Genomic DNA, 20,048 nt, shown 5'->3' on the forward strand with positions numbered 1-20,048 from the left:
GAGAATGATGGTTTTCTTTATCCAGTGTATAATTGATGGGCATTTGGGTTGGTTCCAAGTCTATGCTATTGTGAACACTGCCACAATAAACATATGTGTGCATGTATCTTTACAGTAGAATAATTTATAATCCTTGGGGTATATACCCAGTAACGGGATTGCTGGGTCAAATGGTATTTCTAGTTCTAGATCCTTGAGGAATCACCACACTGTCTTCCACAATGATTGAACTAATTTACACTCCCACCAACAGTGTAAAAACGTTCCTATTTATCCACATCCTCTCCAGCATCTGTTGTTTCCTGACTTTTTAATGATCGCCATTCTAACTGGCATGAGATGGTACATCATTGTAGTTTTGATTTGCATTTCTCTGATGACCAGTGATAATGAGCATTTTTTCATGTTCGTTGGCTGCATAAAGGTCTTCTTTTGAGAAGTGTCTGTTCATATCCTTTGCCCACTTTTTGATGGGGTTGTTTTTTTCTTGTAAATTTGTTTAAGTTATTTGTAGATTCTGGATATTAGCCCTTTGTCAGATAGATAGATTGCTAAAATTTTCTCCCATTCTGTAGGTTGCCTGTTAACTCTGATGATAGTTTTTCTTTACTGTGCAGAAGCTCTTTAGTCTAATTGGATCCCATTTGTCTATTTTGGCTTCTGTTGCCATTGCTTTTGGTGTTTTAGACATGAAGTCTTTGACCATGCCTATGTCCTGAATGGTATTGCCTAGGTTTTCTTCTATGGTTTTTATGGTTTCAGGTATTGCGTTTAAGTCTTTAATCCATCTTGAGTTGATTTTTGTGTAGGTGTAAGGAAGGAATCCAGTTTCAGCTTTCTGCATATGGCTAGCCAGTTTTCCCAACACCATTTATTAAATAGGGAATTCTTTCCCCATTGCTTGTTTTTGTCAGGTTTGTTAAAGATCAGATGGTTGCAGATGTGTGGTGCTATTTCTGAGGCCTCTGTTCTGTTCCATTGGTCTATATATCTGTTTTGGTACCAGTACCGTGCTGTTTTGGTTACTATAGCCCTGTAGTATAGTTTGAAGTCAGGTAGTGTGATGCCTCCAGCTTTGTTCTTTTTGCTTAGGATTGTCTTGGCTATGCAGACTCTTTTTTGGTTCCATATAAAATTTAAATTAGTTTTTTTTCCAATTCTGTGAAGAAAGTCAATGGTAGCTTGATGGGGATAGCTCTGAATCTATAAATTACTGTGGGCAGTATGATCATTTTCACAATATTGATTCATCCTATCCATAAGCATGGAATGTTTGTCCATTTGTTTGTGTCCTCTCTGATTTCCTTGAGTCATGGTTTTTGTGATCCTTGAAGAGGTCCTTCAAATCCCTTGCAAGTTGAATTCCAATTATTTTATTGTCTTTGTAGCTATTGTGAATGGGAGTTCATTCATGATTTGGCTCTGTTTGTCTGTTATTGGTGTATAGGAATGCTTGTGATTTTTGCAGATTGACTTTGTATCGTGAGACTTTGCTGAAGTTGCTTATCTGCTTAAGAAGATTTTGGGCTGAGATGATGGGGTTTTCTAAATATACAATCATGTCATCTGCAGAGAGAGACAATTTGACTTCCTCTCTTCCTAATTGAACACCTTTATTTCTTTCTCTTGCCTGATTACCCTGATGAGAACTTCCAATACTACGTTGAAAAGGAGTGGTGAGAGAGGGCATACTTGTCTTGTGTTGGCTTTCAAAGGAAATGCTTCCAGTTTTTGCCCATTCATTATGATATTGGCTGTGGGTATGTCATAAATAACTCTCAATATTTTGAGATACATTACATCAATACATAGTTTATTGAGAGTTTTTAGCATGAAGCACTGTTGAATTTTGTCAAAGGTGTTTTCTGCATCTATTGAGATAATCATGTGGTTTTTGTCATTGGTTCTGTTTATGTGATGGATTACGTTTATTGATTTGCATATGTTGAACCAGCCTTGTATTCCTGGGATGAAGCTGGCTTGATCATGGTGGATAAGCTTTTTGACATGCTGCTGGATTCGGTTTCCCAGTATTTTATTGACGATTTTCACATCAATGTTCATCAGGTATATTGGCTTAAAATTTTCTTTTTGTGTTGTGTCTCTGTCAGGTTTTGGTATCAGGATGATGCTGGCCTCATAAAATGAGTTAGGGAGGATTCCCTCTTTTTTTATTGATTGGAATAGTTTCAGAAGGAATGGTACCAGCTCCTCTTTGTAACTGTGGTAGAATTTGGCTATGAATCTCTCTGGTCCTGGACTTTTTTTAGTTGGTAGGCTATTAATTGCTGACTCTATTTCAGAACTTGTTATCGGTCTATTCAGGGATTCAACTTCTTCCTGGTTTAGTCTTGGGAGCGTGTATGTGTCCAGGAATTTATCCATTTCTTCTACATTTTCTAGTTTATTTGCATAGAGGTGTTTATAGTATTCTCCGATGGTAGATTGTATGTCTGTGGGATCGGTGGTGATATATCCTTTATCATTTTTTATGGTATCTATTTGATTCTTCTCTCTTTTCTTCTTTGTTAGTCTGCCTAGCGGTCTATCTATTTTGTTAATCTCTTCAAAAAACCAGCTCCTGGATTCACTGATTTTTTTGAAGTGTTTTTTATGTCTCTATCTCCTTCAGTTCTGCTCGATCTTAGTTATTTCTTGCCTTCTGCTAGCCTTTGAATTTCTTTGCTCCTGCTTCCCTAGTTCTTTTCAATGTGATGTTAGGGTATCGATTTTAGATCTTTCCTGCTTTCTCTTGTGGGCATTTAGTGCTATAAATTTCCCTCTGCACACTGCTTTAAAAGTGTCCCAGAGATTCTGGTACATTGTGTCTTTGTTCTCACTGGTTTCAAAGAACATCTTTATTTCCGCCTTTATTTCCTTATTTACCCAGTAGTCATTCAGGAGGAGGTTGTTCAGTTTCCATGTAGTTGTGTGGTCTTGAGTGAGTTTCTTAATCCTCAGTTCTAATTTGATCGTACTGTGGTCTGAGAGAATGTTTGTTATGATTTCTGTTCTATTGCATTTTTTGAGGAGTGTTTTACTTCCAATTATGTGGTCAATTTTAGAATCAGTGTGGTGTGGTGCTGAGAAGAATGTATATTCTGTTAATTTGAGGTGGAGAGTTCTGCAGATGTCTATTAGGTCCGCTTGGTCTAGAGCTGAGTCCATCTCCTAAATATCCTTGTGAATTTTCTGTTTCATTGATCTGTCTAATATTGAAAGCAGCATGTTAAAGTCTCCCACTATTATTGTGTGGGAGTCTACATCTCTTTGTAGGTCTCTAAGAACTTGCTTTATGAATCTGGGTGCTCCTATTGGGTACATATATATTTACTATAGTTAGCTCTTCTTGTTGCAGTGATCCCTCTACCATTATGTAATGCCCTTCTTCGTCTCTTTTGATCATTCTTAGTTTAAGGTCTCTTTGTGTCAGACTAGAATTGCAACCCTTGGTTTTTTTTTTGTTTGTTTGTTTGTTTTGCTTTCCATTTGCTTGGTAAATATTCCTCTATCCCCTTATTTTGAGCCTATGTGTGTCCTTGCATGTGAGATGGGTCTCCGGAATACGGCACAACAATGGCTCTTGACTCTTTATCCAATTTGCCAGTCTGTGTCTTTTAATTGGGGCATTTAGCCCATTTACATTTAAGTTTAATATTGTTATGTGTGAAATTGATCCTGCCATTATGATGCTAGCTGGTTATTTTGCCCGTTAGTTGATGCAGTTTCTTCAAAGCATCGATGGTCTTTACAATGTGGCATGTTTTTGCAGTGGCTGGTACCAGTTGACCTTTTCTATGTTTAGAGTTTCCTTCAGGAGCTCTTGTAAGGCAGGCCTGTTGGTGACAAAATCTCTCAGCATTTGTTTGTCTGTAAAGAATTTTATTTCTCCTTCACTTATGAAGCCTTTTTGGCTGGATATGAAATTCTGGGTTGAAAATTCTTTTCGGGTGCTGGAGCCAAGATGGCCGAATAGGAACAGCTCCAGTCTACAGCTCCCAGCATGAACGACACAGAAGACGGGTGATTTCTGCATTTCCAACTGAGGTACCGGGCTCATCACACTGGGGAGTGCCGGACAGTGGGTGCAGGACAGTGGGAGCAGCACACCATGCGTGAGCCGAAGCAGGGCGAGGCATCACTTCACCCGGGAAGCGCAAGGGGTCAGGGAATTCCCTTTCCTAGTCAAAGAAAGGGGTGACAGACGGCACCTGGAAAATCAGGTCACTCCCACCCTAATACTGTGCTTTTCCAATGGGCTTATCAAACAGCACACCAGGAGATTATATCCGGCACCTGGCTCAGAGGGTCCTATACCCATGGAGCCTCGCTCATTGCTAGCACAGCAGTCTGAGATCAAACGGCAAGGCAGTAGCGAGGCTGGGGGAGGGGCGCCCACCATAGCTCAGGCTTGAGTAGGTAAACAAAGCGGCCAGGAAGCTCGAACTGGGTGGAGCCCAACAAAGCTCAAGGAGGCCTGCCTGCCTCTGTAGGCTCCACCTCTGGGGGCAGGGCTCAGACAAACAAAAGACAGCAATAACCTCTGCAGACTTACATGTCCCTGTCTGACAGCTTTGAAGAGAGTAGTGGTTCTCCCAGCACACAGCTTGAGATCTGAGAAAGGGCAGACTGCCTCCTCAAGTGGGTCCTTGACCCCCGAGTAGCCTAACTGGGAGGCACCCCCCAGTAGCGGTGAACTGACACCTCACACAGCTGGGTACTCCTCTGAGACAAAACTTCCAGAGGAACGATCAGGCAGCAGCATTTGCAGTTCACCAATATCCGCTGTTCTGCAGCCACCGCTGCTGATACCCAGGCAAAAAGGGTCTGGAGTGGACCTCCAGTAAACTCCCACAGACCTGCAGCTGAGGGTCCTGACTGTTAGAAGGAAAACTAACAAAGAGAAAGGACATCCACACCAAAAACCCATCTGTACGTCAACATCATCAAAGACCAAAGGAAGATAAAACCACAAAGATGGGGAAAAAACAGAGCAGAAAAAACAGAAACTCTAAAAATCAGAGCGCTTCTACTCCTCCAAAGGAATGCAGCTCCTCACCAGCAATGGAACAAAGCTGGACGGAGAATGACTTTGATGAGTTGAGAGAGGAAGGCTTCAGAAGATCGAACTACTCTGAGCTAAAGGACGAAGTTCGAACCAATGGCAAAGAAGTTAAAAACTTTGAAAAAAAGTTAGATGAATGGATAACTAGAATAACCAATGCAGAGAAGTCCTTAAAGGACCTGATGGAGCTGAAAACCACGGCACGAGAACTACGTGATGAATGCAAAAGCCTCAGTAACTGATGTGATCAACTGGAAGAAAGGGTATCAGTGATGGAAGATCAAATGAATGAAATGAAGCATGAAGAGAAGTTTAGAGAAAAAAGAATAAAAAGAAACGAACAAAGCCTCCAAGAAATATGGGACTATGTGAAAAGACCAAATCTATATTTCTGATTGGTGTACCTGAAAGTGACAGGGAGAATGGAACCAAGTTGGAAAACACTCTGCAGGATATTATCCAGGAGAACTTCCCCAATCTAGCAAGGCAGGCCAACATTCAAATTCAGGAAATACAGAGAATACCACAAAGATAATCCTCGAGAAGAGCAACTCCAAGACACATAATTGTCAGATTCACCAAAGTTGAAATGAAGGAAAAAATGTTCAGGGCAGCCAGAGATAAACGTCAGGTTACCCACAAAGGGAAGCCCATCAGACTAAGAGCTGATCTCTCGCCAGAAACTCTACAAGCCAGAAGAGAGTGGGTGCCAATATTCAACATTCTTAAAGAAAAGAATTTTCAACCCAGAATTTCATATCCAGCCAAACTAAGCTTCATAAGTGAACGAGAAATAAAATCCTTTACACACAAGCAAATGCTGAGAGATTTTTGTCACCACCAAGCCTGCCCTAAAAGAGCTCCTGAAGGAAGCACTAAACATGGAAAGGAACAACTGGTACCAGCCACTGCAAAAACATGCAAAATTGTAAAGACCATCAAAGCAAGGAAGAAACTGCATCAACTAACGAGCAAAAAAACTAGCTAACATCATAATGACAGGATCAAATTCACACATAACAATACTAACCTTAAATGTAAATGGGCTAAATGCTCCAATTAAAAGACACAGACTGGCAAATTGGATAAAGAGTCAAGACCCATCAGTATGCTGTATTCAGGAAACCCATCTCACGTGCAGAGACACACACAGGCTCAAAATAAAGGGATGGAGGAAGATCTACCAAGCAAATGGAAAACAAAAAAAGGCAGGAGTTCCAATCCTAGTCTCGGATAAAACAGACTTTAAACCAACAAAGATCAAAAGAGACAAAGAAGGTCATTACATAAGGCTAAAGGTATCAATTCAACAAGAAGAACTAACTCTCCTAAATATATATGCACCCAATACAGGAGCACCCAGATTCATAAAGCAAGTCCTTAGAGACCTACAAAGAGACTTAGACTCCCACACAATAATACTGGGAGACTTTAACACCCCACTGTCCACAGTAGACAGATCAACGAGAAAGAAAGTTAACAAGGATACCCAGGAATTGAACGCAGCTCTGCACCAAGCAGACCTAATAGACATCTACAGAACTCTCCACTCCAAATCAACAGAATATACATTCTTTTCAGCACCACACCACACCTACTCCAAAACTGACCACATATTTGGAAGTAAAGCACTCCTCAGGAAACGTAAAAGAACAGAAATTATAACAAACTGTCTCTCAGACCACAGTGCAATCAAACTAGAACTCAGTATTAAGAAACTCACTCAAAACTGCTCAACTACATGGAAACTGAGCAAGCTGCTCCTGAATGACTACTGGGTAAATAATGAAATGAAGGCAGAAATAAAGATGTTCTTTGAAACCAACGACAACAAAGACACAACATATCAGAATCTCTGGGACACATTCGAAGCAGTGTGTAGAGGGAAATTTATAGCACTAAATGCCCACAAGAGAAAGCAGGAAAGATCTAAAATTGACACTCTAACATCACAATTAAAAGAACTAGAGAAGCAAGAGCAAACACATTCAAAAGCTAGCAGAAGGCAAGAAATAACTAAGATCAGAGCAGAACTGAAGGAAATAGAGACACAAAAAACCCTTCAAAAAATCAATAAATCCAGGAGCTGGTTTTTTGAAAAGATCAACAAAATTGATAGACCGCTAGCAAGACTAATAAAGAAGAAAAGAGAGAAGAATCAAATAGATGCAATAAAAAATGACAAAGGGGATATCACCACCAATCCCACAGAAATACAAATTACCATCAGAGAATACTATAAACACCTCTATGCAAATAAACTAGAAAATCTAGAAGAAATGGATAAATTCCTCAACACATACACTCTCCCAAGACTAAACCAGGAAGAGGTTGAATCTCTGAATAGACCAATAACAGGCTCTGAAATTGAGGCAATAATTAATAGCTTACCAACCAAAAAAAACTCCAGGACCAGATGGATTCACAGCCGAATTCTACCAGAGGTACAAGGAGGAACTGGTACCATTCCTTCTGAAACTATTCCAATCAATAGAAAAAGAGGGAATCCTCCCTAACTCATTTCATGAGGCCAGCATCATCCTAATACCAAAGCCTGGCAGAGACACAACAAAAAAAGGGAATTTTAGACCAATATCATTGATGAACATCGATGCAAAAATCCTCAATAAAATACTGGTAAACTGAATCCAGCAACACATCAAAAAGCTTATCCACCATGATCAAGTGGGCTTCATCCCTGGGATGCAAGGTTGGTTCAACATACGAAAATCAATAAACGTAATCCAGCACATAAACAGAACCAAAGACAAAAACCACACGACTATCTCAATAGATACAGAAAAGGCCTTTGACAAAATTCAACAACCCTCCATGCTAAAAACTCTCAATAAATTAGGTATTGATGGGACGTATCTCAAAATAATAAGAGCTATCTATGACAAACCCACAGCCAGTATCATACTGAATAGGCAAAAACTGGAAGCATTCCCTTTGAAAACGGGCACAAGACAGGGATGCCCTCTCTCACCACTCCTATTCAACATAGTGTTGGAAGTTCTGGCCAGGGCAATCAGGCAGGAGAAGGAAATAAAGGGCATTCAATTAGGAAAAGAGGAAGTCAAATTGTCCCTGTTTGCAGATGACATGATTGTATATCTAGAAAACCCATCATCTGAGCCCAAAATCTCCTTCAGCTGATAAGCAACTTCAGCAAAGTCTCAGGATACAAAATCAATGTGCAAAAATCACAAGCATTCTTATACACCAATAACAGACAAACAGATAGCCAAATCATCAGTGAATTCCCATTCACAATTGCTACAAAGAGAATAAAATACCTAGGAATCCAACTTACAAGGATGTGAAGGACCTCTTCAAGGAGAACTACAAACCACTGCTCAGTGAAATAAAAGAGGACACAAACAAATGGAAGAACATTCCATGCTCATGGGTAGGAAGAATCAATATCATGAAAATGGCCATACTGCCCAAGGTAATTTATAGATTCAATGCCATCCCCATCAAGCTACCAATGCCTTTCTTCACAGAATTGGAAAAAACTACTTTAAAGTTCATATGGAACCAAAAAAGAGCCTGCATTGCCAAGTCAATCCTAAGCCAAAAGAACAAAACTAGAGGCATCAAGCTACCTGACTTCGAACTATACTACAAGGCTACAGTCACCAAAACAGCACGGTACTGGTACCAAAACAGACATATAGACCAATGGAACAGAACAGAGCCCTCAGAAATAATGCTGCATATCTACAACTATCTGTTCTTTGACAAACCTGACAAAAACAAGCAATGGGGAAAGGATTCCCTATTTAATAAATGGTGCTGGGAAAACTGGCTGGCCATATATAGAGAGCTGAAACTGGATCCCTTCTTTACACCTTACACAAAAATTAATTCAAGATGGATTAAAGACTTACATGTTAGACCTAAAACCATAAAAACCCTAGAAGAAAACCTAGGCAATACCATTCAGGACATAGGCATGGGCAAGGACTTCATGTCTGAAACACCAAAAGCAATGGCAACAAAAGCCAAAATAGACAAATGGAATCTACTTAAACTAAAGAGCTTCTGCACAGCAAAAGAAACTACCATCAGAGTGAACAGGCAACCTACAGAATGGGAGAACATTTTTGCAACCTACTCATCTGACAAATGGCTAATATCCAGAATGTACAATGAACTCAAATACATTTACAAGAAAAAAACAAACAAACCCATCGAAAAGTGGGCGAAGGATATGAACAGACACTTCTCAAAAGAAGACATTTATGTAGCCAAAAAACACATGAAAAAATGCTCATCATCACTGGTCATCAGAGAAATGCAAATCAAAACCACAATGAGATACCACCTAACACCAGTTAGAATGGCAATCATTAAAAAGTCAGGAAACAGCACGTGCTGGAGAGGATGTGGAAAAATAGGAATACTTTTACACTGTTGGTGGGACTGTAAACTAGTGCAACCATTGTGGAAGTCAGTGTGGCGATTCCTCAGGGATCTAGAACTTGAAATACCATTTGACCCAGCCATCCCATTACTGTGTATATACCCAAAGGATTAGAAATCATGCTGCTATAAAGACACATGCACATGTATGTTTATTGTGGCATTATTCACAATAGCAAAGACTTGGAACCAACCCAAATGTCCAGCAATGATAGACTGGATTAAGAAAATGTGGCACATATACACCATGGAATACTATGCAGCCATAAAAAAGGATGAGTTCATGTCCTTTGTAGGGACATGGATGAAGCTGGAAACCATCATTCTCAGCAAACTATCGCAAGGACAAAAAACCAAACACCGCATGTTCTCACTCATAGGTGAGAATTGAACAATGAGAACACATGGACACAGGAAGGGGAACATCACACACTGGGGACTGTTGTCGGGTGGGGGGAGGGGGGAGGGATAGCATTAGGAGATATATCTAATGCTAAATGACGAGTTAATGGGTGCAGCACACCAACTTGGCACATGTATATATATGTAACAAACCTGCACGTTGTGCACATGTACCCTAAAACTTAAATAATAATAAAAAAAAAAAGAAAAGAAAATTCTTTTCTTTAAGTATGTTAAATATTGGCCCCTACTCTCTTCTGGCTTGTAGGGATACTGCCAAGAGATCCACTGTTAGTCTGATGGGTTTCCCTTTGTGGGTAACCCAACCTTTCTCTCTGCCTGCCCTTAACATTTTTTCCTTCATTTCAACCTTGGTGAATCTGACGTTTATGTGTCTTGGGGTTGCTCTTCTCAAGGAGTATCTTCGTGGTGTTCTCTGTATTTCCGGAATTTGAACGTTGGCCTGTCTTGCTAGGTTGGGGAAATTCTCCTGGATAATATCCTGAAGAGTGTTTTCCAACTTGGTTCCATTCTCCCCATCACTTTGAGGTACACCAATCAACTGTAGGTTTGCTCTTTTTGTATAGTGCCACATTTCTTGGAGGCTTTGTTTCTTTTCATTCTCTTTTCTCTAATCTTGTCTTCTTGCTTTATTTCATTCAGTTCATCTTCAATCTCTGATATCCTTTCTTCTGCTTGATCGATTCAGCTATTGATACTTGTGTATGCTTCATGAAGTTCTCGTGCTGTGTGTTTTAGCTCCATGAGGTCATTTATGTTCTTCTCTAAACTGGTTATTCTAGTTCGCTATTCGTCTAACCTTTTGTCAAGGTTCTTAGCTTTCTTGCATTGAGTTAGAACATGCTCCTTTAGTTCGGAGGAGTTTGTTATTACCCACCTTCTGAAGCCTACTTCTGTCAATTTGTCAAACTCATTCTCCATCCAGTTTTGTTCCCTTGCTAGCGAGGATTTGTGATCCTTTGGAGGAGAAGAGATGTTCTCATTTTTGGAATTTTCAGGCTTTTTGTGCTGGTTTCTCCCCATCTTCATGATTTTATCTACCTTTGGTCTTTGAAGTTGGTGACCTTCGGCTGGGGTCTCTGAGTCCTTTTTGTTGATGTTGATACTATTCCTTTCTGTTAGTTTTCCTTCTAACAGTTAGGACTCTCTGCTGCAGGTCTGCTTAAAGTCCATCCATGTTGTGGCAAATGGATATCCTTTTTAAAGGCTGAATAATATTTCATTATATATTAACCCATTATATACATATGTATTTTTTAAATTTTTTTATTTTTTCAAAAAATCATTGCCAACGCCAGTGTCAGAGAGCCTTTTCCCTATGTTCTCTTCTAAGAGTGTTATGGTTTCACATCTTACATTTAGGTCTTTTATCCATTTTGAGTTTATTTTTGTATATAGTGTAACATAAGGGTTCAATTTCATTCTTTGTATGTGGACATCCAATTTTCCCAGCAGCATTTATTGAGACTATTCTTTCCCATTGTGTCATCTTGATGCCCTTGTCAAATATTTCGTGTACAGGATCTATTACATAATAAGCACACATACTAATTATCTTTTAAATACAAAGTACCAGCTGTTTTGTATGAAGTCAGACATTAGACATGTGCAAAGATGTAAAATAATGCCACTCTTTTCACTACCTTATTTTGTTTTAGAAAATATAGTTATTTTTTGTAAAAATGTCACTTTTGTTAACATATAATGGGTTTATTATTATCTCAATATGAATTAATAAATATTTTAAAATACTCCTTGCTTTCTTTTCTAACACGTTGTTTTGTATCTATCCAGCTATCCATTCACCTATCCCACATGTATCAATAGATGTAATCCACATAAACAAAAATTATTGAGGAACTCTTTAGGTTTTTAAGACTGTAAACAGGTTCTAAGACCAAGAAGTTTGAGAACTTATGTTCTAAATCAGTGTCACTCTTGGATTCCACAGGAGAGTGATAGAAAAGCAATCCATTAAATAAATATGTAACAAATACCAACTGACACTGTTAATTCAAGAATTTATTTATTAATTCCGTAAACATTTCTTGGGTATACAGTAAGTTCAAGTTCCTATGTTAGGTGCAAAGAATACTAAGAAGCATAGGTAAGAGTTCTCAGCCCCAACTACTCTGAGTCTGGTGGTAATTGCTGTAATACAATAATAGTACAAACAAAGAGATGAGAGCTATGATAGAGAAAATGTTGGGAGAGAACTGGAAAGCCCAGGATACTGAACCATAGGAAATGGGGTTTTATGTTTTTTATTTATTTTGGAGTGGAGTGTAGAAGTAGAATAAGGCTCTAACATTGGTGGCAGTCATTAAGTAGCATCTATGTGCAAGGCACAACAGGAGATACAAAGATATCTACAACCTTCTAGGAAACTAGAAGTAACAGAAGGCATAAAACAATTATCAGAAAGAGGGAGAGATCAGAAGAGCAGAGTGACATGAAGACAAAGGGAAAAGAACCCAACAAAGAAGACGTGATCAGATGCTAGAGAGACATCAAAAGGAATAATACGTATCAGAAAGGAAATTTGTAAATAGAAATAATAATTATTAATTATTAATTCAATGAAAACTATTTCTGCCTCTTTCTATTGAAAATAGAAATACTCATTGTCTCTCTGTTACTCACCCATACTCATCAGGCAATCCATTCATTCAAACTACAAGCACTAAGCCACCCACTGTGTACCAAGCCAATGGCCAATGAAGGACATGACATGTACACTATCTAGCAAGGTTTTTGATCCACACACACTTAACTATATCACATCATTGTAAGTGCTAAAAAGGCATCCATAAAAAGAGCTGTGTGTCCTTAGAAGCCAGAGCAATTTATTCAGCCTGTTGAGGGAGTGAAAAGCAGGGAATCAGATGTGGTTCCACAGAGAAAGTGACATCTGTATTTAATCATGAAGAATCAGATGGGTTTTGACAGGAAAGATGTGCATTTTTGTGTGCAAATGAGTGTATTGGAAGATGAGTGGTTATATTAGTCAAGGTCTTGGCAGGAAAAAGATGGCACGCCAACTGCATCCTGGCAGGAAGAAGCCAGGCAAACAATATCCTAACTATACTTTCCTCTCACCCTCTAAATCTCCTGCCTATGCCTCTCATAGGCCAAACTCAAATGAGAAGCAAAGCCTGGAAAAGGCAGTCCACGAAGGTCAGTCTCCAGAGGCACAGATATAGAGGGGCGGAGAGTGATCTGGAGGAACAACCAAATGAAAGTATTTCAGACAGACAACAAAGTCCTGGATCTGCAAAAGTTCATGTAGGGAAATAGGTAATAGAGAGGGAAAGCAATGAGAATAGGTAGGTGAAGCATAAGGCTAGAAGGCAGAACCATCTTTATAAATAGCATGCTTAGACATTTGGATACTATCCTGAGGGACCCACCAAAGGGTTTTAAGCGGGGGCATGGCATAATCATATCTGAGCTTGTAGCTCTGTAGACACTACCTCCCCCAATCCCTAGTTGTTTGACTCCTCTCTCTAAAGAGGCCTGATAATAGAAGTCAGACAGATCCAGCTTTGTATCCTTGCTTACTTGCTATGTAACCCATCAGTGAGGACCCAGTCAGAAGACATTAAACACACCAGTGACATGAACAGAGAAAACTTAACATACAGAATTGTTAAGTGGGTAATTGAAAGGATAAAAAGAGAACTCCAAGGTACCAGGGAGGTAGCTCCCACCACCAGTGTGGAGGAAACAGAAGCAAGAGATTGAAATTATTAAAACTTACAAATGTAGGGACTTAAATGCAAACCTCTGACAATGGAGCACTACTTGGCTGGGGTGGTACCTCTGAGGAGAGGGTGCCCTGAAGCTAGTTTTCCAGGTGTTAGAAGAACTGCACACTGGATTCAGCTGCTACCACAGGAAAAACTTGCCACTGCTGTGGTGAAGGAGTATACTGTTGGCAAGATACTCACAAGCAGAAGGAAAGTCCACAGAAAGCAGAAACGAAGGAGAAGGCTGCTTCTTACCCTCTAGCCTTGAGGTTTCCCTCTAGTTCCCCTTATTAGCATAGCCTGACAGGGATCCAGCTGGGCAAGCTGAAGTGTGGTCTGAAAGTCCCAGCCCCAGCATCACGAAGTGGGAGTTTAGATCTGAGAGACAAGAACTTAACAATTGGCACAGTAATCCTGGAAAAGAAACCTCAGCTTTGTGGTCTCAGTTTTCCTTGCCTGTGAAATGGGACTTTTAAAAAATTACCAAATTTATACTATTGGGAGCATTAAATGAAACAAACTATGCAAAACTTCTTTTATAGTACCTGAAACAAAGTAGCTATTCAATAAAAGTTAATTCCCTTCCCCATTCCCCAAATTGTGGTATCAACTAATATATAAAAACAAAGATGTGTGTGAGTCAATAATCAGTATATGTCTCTTATGAGGCAGCCAGATGTTCTCATCCTTTATAAATGACCATATATCACATGGTATGTTAGTCTTACTAGGTTTTAACTTTTCCTTTTTGCAAAGTTGGGCAGTCTCCCCATCTCCCCATCCATTTCTCACTCTTTCTCCTCCCATCCCTCTCTCTCTCTCTTTCTCTCTCTCTTATACACACATAACAAAGAGATTTGCATGCACACATGCTCCTCTTAATCTCAGAGAAAATTTTTCCCGTGAAGGCAAAAATATAAATGTGATCAAAAACACAGCTATTACTCAGCCAGAACTGGATGAATTCACATATCAAAAACAGGAAGTAGAACACTCTCAATGCTGTTTTTAAAAAACACGTATCAAACAAAATTTTAAAGTATTTTGATGTATTGCTGTTTTTCAAAGCCAATACTGCTAAATGTTGAAATTCAGAAATGAAAGTAAGTGTGGCATTGGTGGAAAACAAAAATCACAAATCTTATCTGGGGCTTTATTAAGAGAAGCACAAGCCGGGAACGATGGCTCACGCCTGTAATCCCAACACTTTGGAAGGCCGAGGCGGGCGGATCACAAGGTCATGAGTTTGAGACCAGCCTGGCCAACATGGTGAAACCCTGTCTCTACTAGATAAAAATAAAAAAATTAGCCGGGCATGGTGGCATGGGCCTGTAATCCCAGCTACTCGGAAGGCTGAGGCAGGAGAATCGCTTGAACCCAGGCGGCGGAGGTTGCAGTGAGCCGAGATCACGCCACTGCACTCCAGCCTGGGCGACAGAGCAAGACTTCGTCTCAAAAAAAAAAAAAGAGAAGCACAGTACAGTACAGTGTTCAAAATAGGGGAAAAACAAGACAACATCTTTGTTCAGTTCTGGAATTCACATTTTAGGAGGAATGTTAACAAACTAGAGCTCTGCCAGTGACTTAAAACTAGAAGTAAAAAGTAGGAAAGGCTTGTCTTTTCCCAAATGGTTGAAAGAACTCATCGTATTTAATTAGGAAAAGAGAGAATGGTGGTGAGTTTATAGGGCTGACACTAAGATGTCCCAGAACTAGGAGAGCAAATTAAGAAGTATCACCTTGTAGTGGATCAGATTATCATCTAGAAATGTAACTCCAGAGATTTTTTCCATAAAAGTGTGACCACAGAGGATTAGGAATCCCAAATACAGTCAAGGGGATGTTGGCGGTGCAGGGAGGAGGAGTCAGGAGGAATGAACAGAGTCAGGAAAGAGGCAATGCAATGGAATTATAACCAGGCTGAACATGGAAAAACTATTTAGAATTCTGCTTAAAAAAAGACAGGGTTATCAGAAGGGAGATATTTAGCATAAAGCCTAGAAAAAGATGAGTGAAGTGGAAAGAATGAATTAGTACATTTCCGAGAAAGAAAGGAGAAATAATCTAACTTGATCTGTTTGCTTTGCATTCACTCTCATCAAATAACCTTATAATTTAGTTTCCCGTGCAGATGTTCCCATAGGCAGAGACTGTAACTATAGCTTACTCATTCCAGTTTGCTTGATAGTCATAACTTCCCTCTGCTCAGAGCTTTTATTCTCCTTCAAAAGTCCAGAAAATAGCTATTTCCCCTATTTTATGGACAAAGAAATTGAAGTTTGGCTAATAAGTGGCAGAACTGTGATTCACCCTCAGATATAATTGACTTTATACTCCATCACAATCAGAAGAGGCTAAAGTCACAGAAAACACAGAGAGACATATAAGAAAGTGGCAAAGTCTAGTAGTGAATGCTGCAAAGAGGTCGAGAAGGATGGTGACTGGCAAAAATGTCCTTATATTTAGTGGTCTGGGAGGCTTTCCAGTAAAAAAGTGTCATGAGCCAGACTGCACTACATTAGTAAGAAAATAATAAAGAAACAGAGGCATCAAGCATAGAACACTCTTTCAAGAACTCTGGCTACAAAGAAAAGACAGTATCATAAAGATATCTGTTTTACTTTGGCTCTAATATAATAGAATAGTTCTGTCACCCATTAAACACTGGGGAATATGTCCACTTTGTAGAGAACTATAGGACAGATATGTGAAGTTCCTCAACCACAATCATATTCCAGTGAAAGATTCTCTGTAAAATGTATCAGCGTTTGAGATGGGCATCATCTACTCATTTCTTCTGTGAGTGGCCATTTTAGACTTAAACAAATGGATTTCTAATGGTCTATTTGTTTTGTTACTTTCAGAATACATTTTTCATTATGAAAGCCAGTGGGAAAAATACAACTGCATTTCAGTGTTTTCAAAGTCACTTTTCTGGAACATATCTATTTAGTTAACTGACAATTTAATAACAAGCTCTCAGAAGGATGACATGTTTATATGTGCAATAATAAAATGAATTTTTCTCTGTCTTTTAGCAATTAAACATTTTTCCTTTAAGTAGATGATGTTTATTTCTCTTGGTGCTCATAACGTTTTAACATGAATTTACCTTGTACTGAGAAATTTTATATTTAAGATATGAGGTTTCAATCATGGGATCCCTCCCCATAAATTTAAATACAAGGGAATCGTGAGTCTATAATTAAAATCTGTTTAACATCTCAAAAATACTAGAAGCCTTTATCACAGTCAGAAAAATTTATACTTCAGTAGAAACTATAGCAAGGATGGGAGAATTGTGCATAGTTTAAAATATATGTTATAGTTTTAAATGCTATATGATAAGCTATATGATAGACAGTTTTCAAAAATCAATGTTTTATTATGTTTACAAGTTCCAGTTCTCTTCCTTACTGTTCATAGTTATGAATCTGTTTATATATGAAAATGAGACCCAAGAAATTCCGGCTAGTGATATGAAGCAAAAATGGGCAGCCATACTGTGTTATCTGTTACTAAAGAGTAGTGGGCACATGGTTGGAGTATGCTTTGAATCAATCTTTTTGGTCCTTCTTACAACAGAAGTTTGCTAACAATCCTCTGTTTTTTTCCTTCTTTCTTCCTCCCACTCTCACCCCAGCCCCTATCTAGAGTTGTGGAATAAAGCAAACAATTCTATCTTAAAAAAAATTTTTTTTTTTGATTGACAGAAAACTCAAACATTTAAATGTGAATTGCTTATGGGATTACCTGTCCTTTTTAAAAATTTGTGGCTCTGCTTATTTTTCAAAGATACGGCCCTTTAGAAAAGTAGTTTGTTGCTCTTTTAAGAGTCCTGAATCGAGCAATAGAAACTGATTTATGCTCTGTGATAGTATCATAATGTTGTATCACTGAAACACAATATAAATTAACCTTAGCATGAAGACCCTTTGTGCATTCCTACTTTCCTTGATTCACAATTTTTTTTTTTTAAACGGTGTCTCACTCTGTTGCCAGGCTGGAGTGCAGTGGCGCAATCTCAGCTCACTGGAACCTCTGCCTTCTGGGTTCAAGCTATTCTCCTGCCTCAGCCTCCTGAGTAGGTGGGACTACAGGTGCGCGCCACCACACCCAGCTAATTTTTGTATTTTTAGTAGAGACAGGGTTTCACCATATTGGCCAGGAGGGTCTCAGTCTCTTGATCTCGTGATCCGCCTGCCTCGGCCTCCCAAAGTGCTAGGATTATAGTCGAGAGCCACTGCGTCCGGCCGATTCACAATATTAATTAGTTCTTGTTTCAACATACTTAAGAATAAGACACTCAATGAGGTAAATACACTTGTTACTAATGTGTACCTAGGGCTATGGAAAGGAAAGGAGAGAAGGGGATGGGAGATGGAGGGACAGAAGGAAGGAAGAAAGGAGGAAGAAAGGAAAGACAATTAATAGTCAAGTGCCAGGATATCTCAGTGCAGCAAATTTGAGACCCACTCTAAGGGTGAGGGACCAGGCTAGGGCATGTCTGTCTGCTAAATTGTTTTTAGTATGACAGTTCATTTATTAATTCAAAACTAGTAAAAGAGCTCTCACCCTTCAAAACCACTTCCGGCATTGGCTGTACAAATTAGGATGATTTTATAAATAAAGTGCATATTACGTGGCATCAAAATTCTTGGATTTGAATTCCAGTCCTACCACTTATCAGATATATGGCCTTGGGCAACTTATTTTTCTGTTTCAGTTTCCCTACCTGCAAAATGGGATACTAATAGTACCTGTTTCATAGAATTACTCTAAGAATGAAATAAGATAACACATATAAACAGTCCAAAGACCTAGCATACTGTAAGTTCTCAATAATGGTTAGTTATTTCACTTTTCTTATCATCATTATGTTCCTTGCAGCCCTCAAATATAGTTACCTAATACACTAAAAGTCATATTCTTTTCATGTTATAACCCTGTAACATTTTTCTTCCTAGATTCATCCATATTCTGCTACTTTCAAATTTTGTTCTATTTCAACTTAGTTTGATTTTTGCCCCCATGTGTAATCAAGAACTTGGCCTATGAATCTCAGCAAAGAAAAATTTTCCCATCCAATAAAATGTACTAATATTTACTGAATACCTAAGAACAGATTATAAGAGAGAAACCTTATTTTTAAAAGAGAAAAATAAAATTTTGCAAACTTCCAGAAACAAATTCTACCTATTAACCAGATTCAATATCCATATTTAAATATTTCTGTATCAATAAAATTATTTAATATTTTTTAAAACAAAAAAATTAAAAGCCAAATTTTTTTTCTAAAATCAACGCATTACTTCTGTGGTTCTCTGACTTTTTGATCAAAAGAAAAAAAGCCATTTAAAACTTAAATTCCATTGCAATCATATTCATCTAATACCAAAGACAAAGATGGATGTGAAAAAAAACAAGAAATAGAAAAATTAGGTATGTAATTCCTGGTGAAGAAGAAATAACGCTGATGTGACTTGACAATTAGGACTCTAAGGGTGAGGGACTAGGCCAGACCATGTCTGACTGCTCAATTCTTTTCTCAGTACCATTTCAGTCACTAATTCGAAAGTAATAAGAGAACTTTTACCCACCATAAGTGGGGTAATAGGGGAAGAATGGGGGAAAAAAGGGAGTAGGGTTGGAATAGAATTAAGGAGAGGTAGTCCAGACCAATTTTGACAGTTCTAAAATAGATCAATAAGAAACTAAAATAATTATTCTTTGTAAGCAAAAACTCTCCTAGAGAGTTCCCAAAGCTGAGTCTAAGAAAAGTGGTCATTGCTGAGCCCAAGGGCAGCGTGCACATATTCCTTCCCTATTCTTTCAACAGTATACAAAAGTCGTTACTACTTTGGCCTAGATTCCATGTTGGCTAGCTTGGCCCACAATTCAGAACAGGTTTAAATAAGCTTCCTCAGAGGCTGCCTGTGTCCTAGGTTTAGGCTTACCCATACTCATCTTGATTGGCAGGTTTTCTCTGCTTGCCGCTTCCACTAGATGTCTCCGAACTTCCATCACTGCCTCTTTGTGCTTAGTGTTCAGTAAAGCTTCCCATAGGGCTTTGGCTGTGGTGTCACTGCAGGAAAATCACAAAAAGAGCTTTAGAATAAATTTCTACTGGATACTGGAAAGGGTTGAAAGCAAAATACTTTTTAAAATATATTTTTGAGCATTAATGTAGTCTTTCCTACTGATAGACTCTAAGTATTAGGATTAAATAAAGAATGTCTAATTCACATAATTGGCAGAAAATATTGAGAAATTAAGGAAACAATAAAATCAAGTGAAAAAAAGGGAAGAAAAGCTGTACTGTGTGATGAGAAGTGTGGGAAAACTATGTGATAAATTTTTTCAAAGATTTTGCACTTAAA

At 38.7% G+C, this 20,048-nt stretch overlaps 1 protein-coding gene across 8 annotated transcripts in view; it reads right to left on the minus strand.

The window, feature by feature from the left end:
• SCFD2 (sec1 family domain containing 2) overlaps positions 1 to 20,048 on the minus strand; it is a 493,080-nt gene that overhangs the window by 421,029 nt on the left and 52,003 nt on the right. For all 8 annotated transcript variants that reach the window (NM_152540.4, XM_017007787.3, XM_047449646.1 and 5 more), the window contains exon 3: positions 19,626 to 19,753. In NM_152540.4, the coding sequence (NP_689753.2) occupies positions 19,626 to 19,753 (128 nt within the window). The remainder of the gene's footprint in view (positions 1 to 19,625; positions 19,754 to 20,048) is intronic.

This window comes from Homo sapiens, chromosome 4 (assembly GCF_000001405.40).
Source record: "Homo sapiens chromosome 4, GRCh38.p14 Primary Assembly".
NCBI lineage: Eukaryota > Metazoa > Chordata > Mammalia > Primates > Hominidae > Homo > Homo sapiens.